Below are 13320 nucleotides of genomic sequence, written 5' to 3' on the forward strand. Positions count from 1 at the left end.
TGACCACTTCATTTTCTGTCGTACTTAGACCTTCTCTAAAGATTGGAGCACTTTTTTTTTTTTTTTTAAACTTTGAGGTAGTTACCAAATAATACTTAAATGTGTAAGGTCTGACAAATATTAATACAACAAATGCTGTTTCTACCACTATAAAAGTGACTACTGAATGTTGTGTTTATCTAAACTTTAAAAAATATAATTTAACCATATTTTTTAATCTCTAAACAGTATTTTCTTCTCAAACTTTTATTTTTCACATCATATTTCTGAGATTGATTTTGTACAGTCGTAATTAATCATTTTCACCTCTGTATAGTATTCTGTTGTGTGACTTAGCGCAATTTATTTAGTCTCTTGTTGATGACCATTTAGATTGTTTATTATTTTTTGCCCATAGCCATAATGCAAATATCTTCTATATGCTCTTGGTACACATATGCAAAAGTTTATATACCAAGTGGGGAATTACTGTGTTAGAGGATATGAAGTGTTATCTCATGGTAGTTTTAATTTGCATTCTTTTGATTGCTAATGAAGTACAGCTTCTATTCATATTTTTATTTCTATTTGTCTATCCCAGTTTCTGCTCTGTTGAAGTCATTTGTTCATTTTAATTGTGCTGTCTTTTTTTTTTTTTTTTTAAAGTATGTAGTTTTTATTTTTACTTATTTAAAAAAAATTTACTGGTTTATTATAAAGGATACAACTCAAGAACAGACAAATAGAAGGGATACACAGGACAGATTAAGGGGGACAGAGGGTGGTGCAGAGCTTCTGTGCCCTCTCTGGGTGTACCACCCTCCTAAGACCTCAGTGTGCTCACCAAGTGGGACACTCTCTGAACCTCACTGTACAATAGTTCTCATGACTCAATCTCCAACCCTCCTCTCTTCCACAGAGTTTGGTGGGTGGGACTGAAATTTCCAACTCTAATCATTTTTGGTCTTTTGGTGAGTAGCCCTACCCTTAAGCTATTTCAAAGGAGCCTCCACTCAAAGCTATTTCATTAGCATAAATTCAGGTGTGATTAAAAGGGGGCTCTTTTTTCTAAGTTTATTTATTTTGTTTTGGGACAGGGTCTTACTCTGTCACCCAATCTGGAGTGCAGTGGCGTGATCATAGCTCACTGTAACTTTGAACTCCTGGGCTCAAGTGATCCTCCCATCTCAGCCTCCCTAGTAGCTGAGACTACAGGTGTGCCACCATGCCCTAGCTCCTTTTAAATTTATTGTATTGTTAAAGTCTTTTTTATTGCTACTTATAGAGGTATCTCTTTTCAAGTATAGATAGCAGTCCCCAGCCTTTTTGGTACCAGTGATTGGTTTTGTGGAAGACAATTTTTCCATGGACCAGGGTAGGGGCTGGCTGCTTTAAGGATGATTCAAACACATTACAGTTATTGTGCACTTTATATTATTATTACATTGTAATATATAATGAAGCAATTATACAATTCACCATAATGTAGAATCAGTGGGAGCCCTGAGCTTGTTTTCCTACAACTAGACGGTCCCATCTGGGGGTGATGGGAGACAGTGGCAGATCAGCAGGCATTAGATTCTCATAAGGAATGCACAACCTAGGTTCATTGCATGCAGAGTTCACAATAGGGTTTGCACTCCTATGAGAATCTAATGCCTCTGTTGATCTGACAGTAGGCGGAGCTCAGGCGGTAATGTGAGTGATGGGGAGTGGCTGTAAATACAGATGAAGCTTCACTCCCTTGTCTGCCGCTCACCTCCTGCTGTGTGGCCCAGTTCCTAACAAGCTATGGATCAGTATTTGTCTGTGGCCAGGTGGTTGAGGCTCCCTCCTCATATAGATGACTATTTAACATTACTCTAATGATGGGTATTAAAAGTATTTTCTATTTCTCAAATGTGTAGTTTTAAAGCAAATAATAATAATTATAGCAATTTAATCTAGGCCAGCTGCTATGCTGAGTTGACATATTATCTTAATCCTCACACAATATCGGGTATAGACACTGTTTTTAACTTCCATTTTGTTGATAAGAAAACAGACATTGAGGGATACAGTAGTCTCCCTTTACTGGCAGTTTTGCTTTCTGTGGTTTCAGTTACCTGTGGCCAACCATGAGCTGAAAATACTAAATAGAAATTCCAGGAATAAACAGTTCAATTGCAGGTCATTCTGAGTAGTGGGTCAAAAGCTTGTGCCATCCTGTCCTGCCTGGAGTTAGAATTATCCCTTTGCCTAGCATATCCACATTGTTAGTGCTACCTATTAATCACTTAGTCATCTCAATTATCAGATCACGTGTCATGGTATCAGGGACAGTGTTTGTGTTCAAGTAACTTTTATTTTACTTAATAATGGTCTCAACATGCAAAAGTAGTGATGCTGGCAATTCAGATAAGCCAAAATGTTGTTGTAAAGGGCTTCCTTTAAATGAAAAGGTAAAAGTTCTTAACTTAATAAATAAAGAAAAAAAATTGTAATCTGAGGTTGCTAAGATCTATGGTAAGAACAAATCTTCCATCTGTGAAATTGCGAAGAAGAAAAAAGAAATTTATGTTAGTTTTGCTGGTGCACCTCACTGCAAAAGTTATGGCCACAATTCATGATAATTGCTTAGCTAAGATGGAAAAAGCATTAAATTTGTGGGTGGAGGATGCAAACAGAAGTGTGTTTCGATTGATGGTGTCTGGGTTCAATACTGTCCACTGGGGATCTTGAAATACTATCCAATGTTTCAGGTATCCACTGGCGATCTTGAAACATATCCCCTGTGGATAAGGGGGAACTTGTCCTTGTCTAAGTTCACTTGTCTTAGTCTTAATAAGACTTGTCTAAGTTCACTCAGTAGTAAGTGCTAGAGCCAGAATGGAAACCGAGGCAGTCCTTACATGCATCTTTGTGCAGCACATAGCCTCTATTATTGTTAGTTATATAGTTGATGAAGATGGTGTTTATTACTTGAAGCCTCATTTTTTTAAACAAAATTAGCAAATATTATGAATATGTGATTATCATGTATGTATTATTGGAACATAAAGCTTAAAACAATGTAAGAATCCTCTGAAACCATACCACTCTGAGCTACTATAATAAGGGCATCTTCAAGCCTTTTTTTTTTTTTTTTTTTGGGCGGAGTCTCACTCTGTTGCCCAGGCTGGAGTGCAGTGGCGTGATCTCGGCTCACTGCAACCTCCACCTCCCGGGTTCAAGCAATTCTTCTGCCTCAGTCTCCCGAGTAGCTGGGACTACAGGCACGTGCCACCATGCCCGGCTAATGTTTTTTGTATTTTTAGTAGAGATGGGGTTTCACTGTGTTAGCCAGGATGGTCTCGATCTCCTGACCTCGTGATCCACTTGCCTCCGCCTCCCAGAGTGCTGGTATTACAGGCATGAGCCACCATGCCCGGCCTTCTCTATGCTTTTTATGGGGCATCTTTTCATTTAATTTCCTTCCGTTTTTGAGCTCTCTAGCGAGTGTGAAAATGGAGTTTTGGCAGTAAAGCTCCACAAGGGAATAGAAGAGAAGGCTCTGCTGCCAGTTAGATAACTTCCCTCTGGAAATCCTGGCAAGATGTACTGAAAGGTTTCAGAGGGGGTTGGTATGATGGAAACTAGTATAAGGATGTACCTATATTAGCTTTTTTGGGTGAGAAATTAATATATATATTAGTCCATAGTACCTCGATTTCCCTACGTTTATGGCATTAGATTACCGGCAACAGCAGAAATCAATTGACCTTCACTTGCGTGGGTACCTTTTGATTTTGTGATTGTTCCATTTTCTTCCCTGCATGTCATTATTAGCTTTTAAAGTTTTTCTTGTATTCCTGGATTATATTACTCAATAAACTTTGGAAATTTGAATCAGTATTTTTCTCTCAGAATATCTTTATTGATTTTTCCTTGGTAATTATTTCCCTATTATGTATAGATGTTATGATAATTCTTTTTTGAGAGAACTTAAAAAGTTTGAGATTCTTAAATAATGGAACAAGAAATTGAGTTTTTCATATGCATTCTTCATTAGAGTATTAAAACATTTTCTAATAATTTGAAGCTATAGTGTGTTTGATTTGTAGTATATTAAAATCTGTCATTTTTCTTTTAGGCTGTAAAGGATGTGAATCTTTGAACATAGTTGCCATGAATCTTAAATAACAAAAAGCAGTTAGTATTTTTAAAATATTCCATTTGTTTTATAAACATTATTTTGTAGGTATCTGTAATGCGTGATGAGGATAAATTACTGAGGATTAAAATTAATGAACTGGAGAAAAAGAAAAACCAGTGTTCTCAGGAATTAGATATGAAACAGCGAACCATTCAGCAACTCAAGGTAAACAGTTTTGTTTTTAAAGATGATTTAAATGCATTCTCTTGGTATATTTTAGTGTACAAAAAGGTACAAATTTGTTTTTAATAACATCCTGTTTTGACTTTTTCTAGAATCTAGAAATAAATTATTTAAAATTAAATAGGCAAAAAAGAAAAAAAAAAGATAAAATTAAGTAGGCCAGTAGTGACTCTCTTCTAATGAATAGACTATGGAAAAGAAAAAATAATAACTTCATAGTGAAGAAACCTAGCAGATACCACTTTAACCAAGTGTTTAAGAATAACATTACCATTAGTCATATTGATGCTGTGTGCTTCCTGGTTTGATGTGACCAGAAAGGCACATACCCTCTTTGGTATTCTTTCCCTAAATTTATAACCTCAGACTCTTCACGAAAAAACATTAGACAAACCCAAATGGAGGATGTTATACTTACTGCTTCACCAGTATGAAGTATAAAGTGTCAGGGTCATTAAAGACAAGTAAAGACTGGTGAATGATGGTGAAGTCTGGAGTGTAATTAATAGTAGTATACCAATGTTAATTTCTTGATTTTTGATAAATGTACCATGGTAGTGTAATATGATAACATTAAGGGAAGCTAAATTCTTTGGAACTCTTGCAAAGCTAAAATTATTTTGAAATAAAATGCAAAAAAACAAAAAGAGTTGAGGTCTTACAGCAAATTCCTTTTAAAAATGATATTTAAAAGGCAAAATCCCTTTATTGTATATGGTTATTTTTTGCTTGATATCAACCAAATGGATGAGGCAACAATAAAAAAAATACATTTGTTATATTATTTTCATGTTTGCTTTTAAATGAAGCAAACTAATGAATAGTCAGGTATAAATACATGATTTTAATTCTTAAGGTAATCATAATAAAGCATTCTATAACAATAGGATTCGAGATCTCCATATTCCATAATGATTCACTCTTAAGACTTACAAAGTGATGAGATAGTGGTGACATTAGATGAGATTGGGGGTGAAGTTTGGATTACATGATAAGTTACAATTAGAACTGTAGGATATCTGGTCCCCATAATTTAATCTTGCCTCTTAAGGCTTATTTTTTTCCAATCTTGCAGCTACTTTCTAGGTAAAAGGGGTGGAGAGCTCTTTTTTCCTTCATTTTGAGTTTAAGTTTACCAGTGAGGAAGCTTTTAATGGTTTTTCTTGTTCCTTCTATGTTAAATACACAGTAGAACTTCATTTTCCCTTGTTTCTGCTTTTTGTGGTTTGTAAGAAAACATTTATCTAAAATGTTGAGTAAGTAAAATAACCGGGTCATAACGTAGATTAAAAGTATAGGCTGGGCACAGTCGCTCACGCATGTAATCCCAGCACTTTGGGAAGCCGAGGCAGACGGATCACAAGGTCAGGAGATCGAGACTAGCCTGACCAACACGGTGAAACCCCGTCTCTACTAAAAATACAAAAATTAGCCAGGCGTGGTGGCACACGCCTATAATCCCAGTTACTCAGGAGGCTGAGGCAGGAGAATCGCTTGAACCCAGGAGGTGGAGGTTGCAGTGAGCCAAGATTGCGCCACTGCGCTCCATCCTGGGTGGCAGAGGGAGACTCCATCTCAAAAACAAACAAATAAATAAATAAATAAATAAAGACATATAAAGTGTTTTTTTTTAATTTTTTTAAATTTTAATTTTAATTTTTATTTTTTGAGATGGAGTCTCGCTTTGTCGCCAGGCTGGAGTACAGTGGTGCGATCTTGGCTCACTGCAATCTTGGCTCACTGCAATCTCTACTTCTTCTTTCCCCTGCTCTCACCCTACCCTTTTCTCCAAGATGAAAGACAGTTGGAAGCTTGAGACTGGTACCAGCTGGTATACCAGCTATATAGGAGACTGATTTCAAACTTAATATTGAGCCCTGTTTTCAAGATCCACTGTTAAATATTGTGTTTTTAAGTTAATTTGCAATTAATTTATATTCTTTCAATTTGTAGGAGCAGTTAAATAATCAGAAAGTGGAAGAAGCTATACAACAGTATGAGAGAGCATGCAAAGGTCAGGAACAAGTTTGTACTTCTGGAACCAGAAAAGTTCTCTTATTCCCCTCGCAGGGCATGCGATGGGGGTATGACTTGCTTCATTGGTGCCCTGCAGCTCAAACCCCTAGGGGGAGCATGCAGACGGGCAGGTCTTGAGTGTGGGCTCTGACCCTGTGGCAGCATCTGGGGTTGAGTGTTTACAGCTCCTGAAGGCCCCAGTGGGCGTGTTCTACAGGGTGTTTTTTCAGCCTAGCCGTCCACAGGCGGCTTGTGTTAATCAGCTCAATTAGACCCTCTGCCTTATTGCAAGGACAGAGGGCTTTCTGTATCCCGGGATTCTTGCTCTAGTGTACTGGAAAAATCGGATCACACATGGGCGTGTAGAAGGTTTTATTGAGTGGAGTTAGCTCTCTGCAGATGTATGGGGAGCCAGAAGGGGATGGAGCGGGAAGGTGGTCTTGCCCTGGGCGGCCGGACTCTCCTCTGACTGCCCGCAACCAAATTCCGTGTCATCTCACAGTAGATGGCCTGCCAGCATCTGCTGGTATCTGCTGGTGTGTTCTTCCAGTGTGTTCCTCTAGATGTTCAGCTGCTTGTGTGTGTGCCTGCCAGGGTCTCAGGGTTTTTGTAGGCACAGGATGGGGGCGTGGCAGGCCAGGGTGGTCTTGAAAAATGCAACATTTGGGTGTGAAAACAGGAGTGCCTGTCCTCACTCTGTGGGCACAGGCCCGAGGGTGGAGCCTTCACCAGGGACCCTGCCTTTCTGTACCCAGCACTTCCCTGCCTGCCTCCCATATCACTTCCAGTACTAAAATTACAAAACAGGTAGTTGCAATAACAACTGGTTAACATTTCCTTTGAAAATTCTGAAGGGAAGTGAGGGCAACATAAGATGCAGCTTATCAAAAGTGAAAAGTAGTGATTCTAATGAATAATTTGTTAACTTAAAGCTTATTCTTAGAAAAATAAAATAAGTAGTCAAAGCAACATTGATTTCTTGTAATGGCCAGTATTTTGTGAAAAATAAAGCCAGTCAAACTTTTATGTAGGTCACAATGAATGGCATAGATTTCTGGACGAAATTGTGTAAAGAATAAACTTCAAATAAAATATCTTTAAAATTAAAATGTGTATTCTGAACGGACACTTCTCAAAAGAAGACATTTATGCAGCCAAAAAACACATGAAAAAATGCTCATCATCACTGGCCATCAGAGAAATGCAAAGCAAAACCACAATGAGATATCATCTCACACCAGTTAGAATGGCAATCATTAAAAAGTCAGGAAACAACAGGTGCTGGAGAGGATGTGGAGAAATGGGAACACTTTTACACTGTTGGTGGGACTGTAAACTAGTTCAACCATTGTGGAAGTCAGTGTGGCGATTCCTCAGGGATCTAGAACTAGAAATACCATTTGACCCAGCCATTCCATTACTGGGTGTATACCCAAAGGACTATAAATCATGCTGCTATAAAGACACATGCACATGTATGTTTATAGCAGCACTATTCACAATAGCAAAGACTTGGAACCAATCCAAATGTCCAACAATGATAGACTGGATGAAGAAAATGTGGCACATATACACCATGGAATACTACACAGCCATAAAAAATGATGAGTTCATGTCCTTTGTAGGGACATGGATGAAGTTGGAAATCATCATTCTCAGTAAACTATCGCAAGAACAAAAAACCAAACACCACATGTTCTCACTCGTAGGTGGGAATTGAACAATGAGAGCACATGGACACAGGAAGGGGAACATCACACTGTGGGGACTGTTATGGGGTGGGGGGAGTGGGGAGGGATAGCATTGGGAGATATACCTAATGCTAGATGACGAGTTAGTGGGTGCAGCGCACCAGCATGTCACATGTATACATATGTAACTAACCTGCACATTGTGCACATGTACCCTAAAACTTAAAGTATAATAATAATAATAATAAAATTTTTAAAAAGCTGCTTAATAATTTAGATTCAAATCCTAGGTGCTGAATTATGAATTATGCTTTTCTTACTCAGATTGTATTGATTTGTTGTTTGAAATATTACAAAATTACTTTTTTCTTTTTGAGACGGAGATTCGCTCTTGTCATCCAGGCTGGAGTGCAGTGGCACAATCTCAGCTCACTGCAACCTCCGCCTTCCTGGTTCAAGTGATTCTCCTGCCTCAGCCTCCTGAGTAGCTGGGATTACAAGCACCAGCCACCATGCCTGGCTAATTTTTGTATTTTTAGTAGAGACGGGGTTTTGCCATGTTGGCCAGGCTAGTCTTGAACTCCTGACCTCAGGTGATCCACCCGCCTTGGCCTCCCAAAGTGGTGGGATTACAGGCTTGAGCCACCGTGCCTGGCCACAAAATTTCTTTTATAGATGATACATATTTCTGTTTTTAAAATGATACAGACTCCTCTCCTCCTCATTACCCCTTAACTTCTTTGTTCTGTGAGTGGCAGAACTAGGATTTGAACCCAGGTGTGCTTCACTCTTAAGTCTCAGACTCTCTTTACTAATCCATGTTATTTGTACTTGGCCAACAAAAGAAAGGGTAACACAACCAGATTATTACTTATTTAGCTGACTTATACATTGGTGGGGTTAACTTGGATGGGTAACTTGGATGTGAAAATATATCTCTGCACACAGTACTGTTTTCTTCTGCCTTTCTTAGGCCTTGTCACCCTAACATCTCCTATTTCATAGGAAATAGTTCATAGCTATCTTTTAGGATTCCCCTTTACTTTGGCTCCTTTGTCCCTCTTGGTGAATGTGGACACATCTTAGATACTCTGGAAAAGTCTACCCTTGGACCAGGTTGCCCTATAGTTTTTATCATATTTTAATTTTTGTTTTCTTTGCCAAATATGGAGAAGTATGGCATAGGCCCACCGTGACTATTTTAATCTGACTTCCACCTTTTCTATGCTTCTAAGTCACTTGTAACCTACATATGTTAAAATCTGTCAGCATTTTGCAATCCCTGCTTTTTATTTTTCATTATTTTGGTGTTATTGTACACTCTTCTTTTCCTCAGTTATATTTATAAAGTAGTATTTATTGTATGTGTATTTTTTCTAAATATAAAGGTAATCTATAGCTCCTCCCACCTTTTGAAACTCTCTTGTCTCAGCTTTTATGATCTATTCTGTACTAGTTACCACTTTTCTCTCAGAATGAGTCTCAGCCACTTTGGTAACTTGCCTGATTAAGATGTCGTTATCTTTTTTTAAAATTATTTTTTCCTTTAGAGAGAAAATGCTCTTGTGATTTAAGTTGTGTATGAGACATTTCCCTACAAATAGACAACAAACAAAACTATATCTTTAACTCTTAAGGCTTTCCCTGCCTCCTAAATTTCTATTTATTCACGGAATGCCTTTCACTTACCTATCTTTAATATTGAATTATTAAACAATGGAGATCTAATATATGTAACATAAAATTTACCTTTTAAAAGTGTACAGTTTAGTGGGCTTTAGTACTTTCTATTCACAAAATTGTACAACCATCACCACTATCTAATTACTGTGTGTTTATAGTAACGTAAAGTGACAAGTGAACATTTTTGTCACTTCAAAAAGAAACCCTGTACCCATCAGCAATCATACCCCATTCACCCCATCCCTCCAGCTCCTATCAGCCACTAATCTACTTTCTGTCTGTATGAATTTGCCTATTATGGACAATTCATGTTAAGTCAGTTCATACAATATACGGCCTTTTGTGTTTGACTCTTCTTAGAATAATGTTTCCAAGTTTCATCCATATTGTGTATGTATCCGTACTTTATTCCTTGCTATGGCTGAATAATATTCCGCATTTTATGTATCAGTTGATAGACATTTGGGTTGTTTCCACTTTTGGCTTTTATGAACATTTATATGCAAGTTTTTGGGTAAACTTATAGTTTTAATTTTCTTGGGGATGGTAAGCAAGTGTTGAATATGCAGCACTTGATTGCTTGTTCATTTAATAGTCATTTATTTCACTATGATTGCTCATAACTATCCTTAGATAATATCTTTAGATAGCTATGATGAGATATCTGTCTCAGACTTCTTTACTTTGCTTTATTTTCCATTTTATCATTTTGGTGTGTATTTTGGGGTTCTTTCCTGAAATAAAATGTAAATTACTGGAGTCAATGACTGATTAAATAATTATCTTTTTGCCTTTACTGCTCTAGTTTGCTAGCTTTCAAATAATAGGTGAGTAGCCATTAGTGAGGTTACCATTGGTGTTCTGGAAATTTTTTAATTGATAATTAGATTTGTAAATTCTTTTTCTAGTCCTCAGTTTAGAGTCAGAAATGCAAAGTGTAAGAGGGAGGGAATTCTTTGAATAAAATTATAATTAATTGTGTAATATGAATATATTTGAAAATCATGCTTTTTGAAAGAGATTTATATGATAATATGAAGGTGACTTTAATCCTAGGAGGAATTCTGTTTTACTAGCACACCTGAAAGCCTGCATCAATGGAAAAATACTAAAAACTGCTCATACAGTTTTCTCTTACTGTTTAGTTTGTTTTACCTTTGTTTTATGTGCACTTTGAGGGAGCCATCTTTGGGTATTTGTGTTACTAAAAGCAGCCTGAGATTGAGCTATGCATTTATAGCTTTATCACCTCTGACATCAGTAATAGTTGGTAAGAGTTCTCTGAAATGAGCCCTGCTACTAGGTGCCATCACCAGAGGCAACAAACTGATCTTCCCTCTTTATCCGTTTCCTGCAGACAGGGTTAATATATAGTTGCTTACAAGTAATTGCTGTAGTCATTCTTCAAGGGCCAGAAACAATTTTAGGAAGGCTGTTATTACTAGCTTTTCAAAAGCCATTTCTGAGGAGCTGGTTTTAAATAAAAATTTAAAATAGAAACAAATATTTGACTCTGAATATTTTTCTAGAAAAAGTAACTACTTGATGTTAAAAAAAATAGTTCAAATTGGGATTGAGCTTTTTTAGTTTTAGGAGGTAAAGGTTTTAGTTTGATTGGAGAATATTAACACTGAAAATAAGTATTTTGCCAAATAATGGTTTTTCCCCCTAAATCCTAAGATTTATGTTCATAGTAATAGTTAGTTGTATCGGAATAGTTTAATTGTATTAGAAATTGTTAATTTTACCTGAAAAAACTTTTTTCCATTCATCCACTCTTGCAATCATCCAAGCATCCATCTTTACACCAAATATATATTTAGTATGTCATATATACCAGTACTGTTGTAGACATTGAGGATATTGCGATGAATAAGACAAAGTTTCTGTCTATATGGAACTAATATTCTATTACAGTTAATAAAAATGTATTTTAATTTTAGAAGAACTTAAGAAAAATTGGATATCTAGAGGCTATTAATTTCTAAAATGTTCTCCCCCGATTTTTAGATCTAAATGTTAAAGAGAAAATAATTGAAGACATGCGAATGACACTAGAAGAACAGGAACAAACTCAGGTAGAACAGGATCAAGTGCTTGAGGCTAAATTAGAGGAAGTTGAAAGGCTGGCCACAGGTAAAACAAGATTGCTTACATTTCTCTAAATATACTTTTTCATTTAAAAAAAAATTTCCTAGATTTCTTCCCTTGTTAAAGTAGTACGTATTTTCAGTGATTGATAATGGAAAAGTATTTGGTGTTTTTTGAATGTCCTATTACTTGTCATTTTCCACTGTGATGAAAATTGTTTCACTAAAATTATATGCAGTAAAGGAGTAAGGACACTGCATGATAACTTACGAATTATATATTGCAAGTTATGGATGATAACTTGCAGTGTTCCCTAGATGTTAAGAGTAAGTTTTCAACTGAGTTTCACCTTTGTCAGGCTTTTAGCATTATCTTGTATGTTGATCTCAATAAATACTTTGATTTCATTGCTTTCAGAATACCATCAGAGTTTTTCTAGAGTATATGGAAAAATATAACATTTACTAATAAAAATGTTATGTGTGATTCTTGTAGAAAGGGCAAGAAATTTAGAATTAAGAAATTGTCTAGCCATTTTATATATAACCTTGGCAGGGTACTTGTGCTTACTCAGCCTAATTTTCCTCATTTGTAAAATGTGGCTGATGATGATAATGCCATATGTACTATTGCACATTATTCTTTTTTTAAAATCATCTGACTTGAAGATTCATATTGTACATTATTCTTATCAAGATCAGATGAGATGAAAAAATGTAATAGTACTTTGTAAACCCTAAAACTCTATTATAACTGTATTTTGGTGGATGAAATTGTGATGAGGATGAGGACAGTGAGTCTGTGTGACTTCATACTTTTCTAGCCACTTTCATGGGCATAGAAAACTTTTTTCTTGAGGACTGCATGAAGTTTTCTATATAATAAGGTTGACAATGAATTTATTATACTATACTGTGAATACTATTCATTGGATTCCTGAGAAGTCCCTGTAGTTCCTCTTCACTAAGAATTTAGTAAGAACTCCTAAAAGTTAAACTATAGAATAGCCTCAGTTCCATCTTGGTCTGTGTTCTTTATCTGGGCTCTACTGATTTGTGTCTGTAGCCCATGTCAAGTGTATCTCTACATGGTATAACTTTTGCATATGCTTTAAAACATAATTTTATGTCTTCAAATCAGAATTGGAAAAATGGAAGGAAAAATGCAATGATTTGGAAACCAAAAACAATCAAAGGTCAAATAAAGAACATGAGAACAACACAGATGTGCTTGGAAAGCTCACTAATCTTCAAGATGAGTTACAGGTATGACTTTATGTATGTTTTTATGTATGAATGTATCTGTCTTCATTATATTTCTAATAAGAGGAGAATTCAGTATTTTATATTTAGTAATTCACTTAGATATGGGTGAAATAATACCTGGCAAATGTTAATATGTAAATATAACTTTTCAGTGCACATTGAAATGACATGGGGAAGAAATTCCAAGATATAGCCTATTAAGTGCCAGTGAAATATAGTGATTGGGTCCTTAGTTTTA

General features: G+C 36.2%; 1 protein-coding gene across 5 annotated transcripts in view, besides 1 other annotated feature; it reads left to right on the forward strand.

The window, feature by feature from the left end:
- The window catches only part of KIF20B (kinesin family member 20B), a 73345-nt gene that overhangs the window by 38020 nt on the left and 22005 nt on the right, over positions 1–13320 (forward strand). For all 5 annotated transcript variants that reach the window (NR_168374.1, NR_168375.1, NM_001284259.2 and 2 more), the window contains 4 exons: positions 4199–4318; positions 6290–6350; positions 11737–11862; positions 12958–13082. Coding sequence is in view for 3 of the 5 variants with exons in the window: in NM_001284259.2 (NP_001271188.1) it covers positions 4199–4318; positions 6290–6350; positions 11737–11862; positions 12958–13082 (432 nt within the window). In the remaining 2 variants the exon portion in view is untranslated. The remainder of the gene's footprint in view (positions 1–4198; positions 4319–6289; positions 6351–11736; positions 11863–12957; positions 13083–13320) is intronic.
- Positions 1475–1976: an enhancer, noted in NCBI's record as "NANOG hESC enhancer chr10:91500841-91501342 (GRCh37/hg19 assembly coordinates)". NCBI's record gives its function as "activates a minimal SCP1, AML or CMV promoter by ChIP-STARR-seq in naive H9 embryonic stem cells {active_cell/tissue: H9 hESC(naive)}" and the evidence as "EXISTENCE:reporter gene assay evidence [ECO:0000049][PMID:30033119]".

Source organism: Homo sapiens, chromosome 10 (assembly GCF_000001405.40).
Source record: "Homo sapiens chromosome 10, GRCh38.p14 Primary Assembly".
Lineage (NCBI taxonomy): Eukaryota > Metazoa > Chordata > Mammalia > Primates > Hominidae > Homo > Homo sapiens.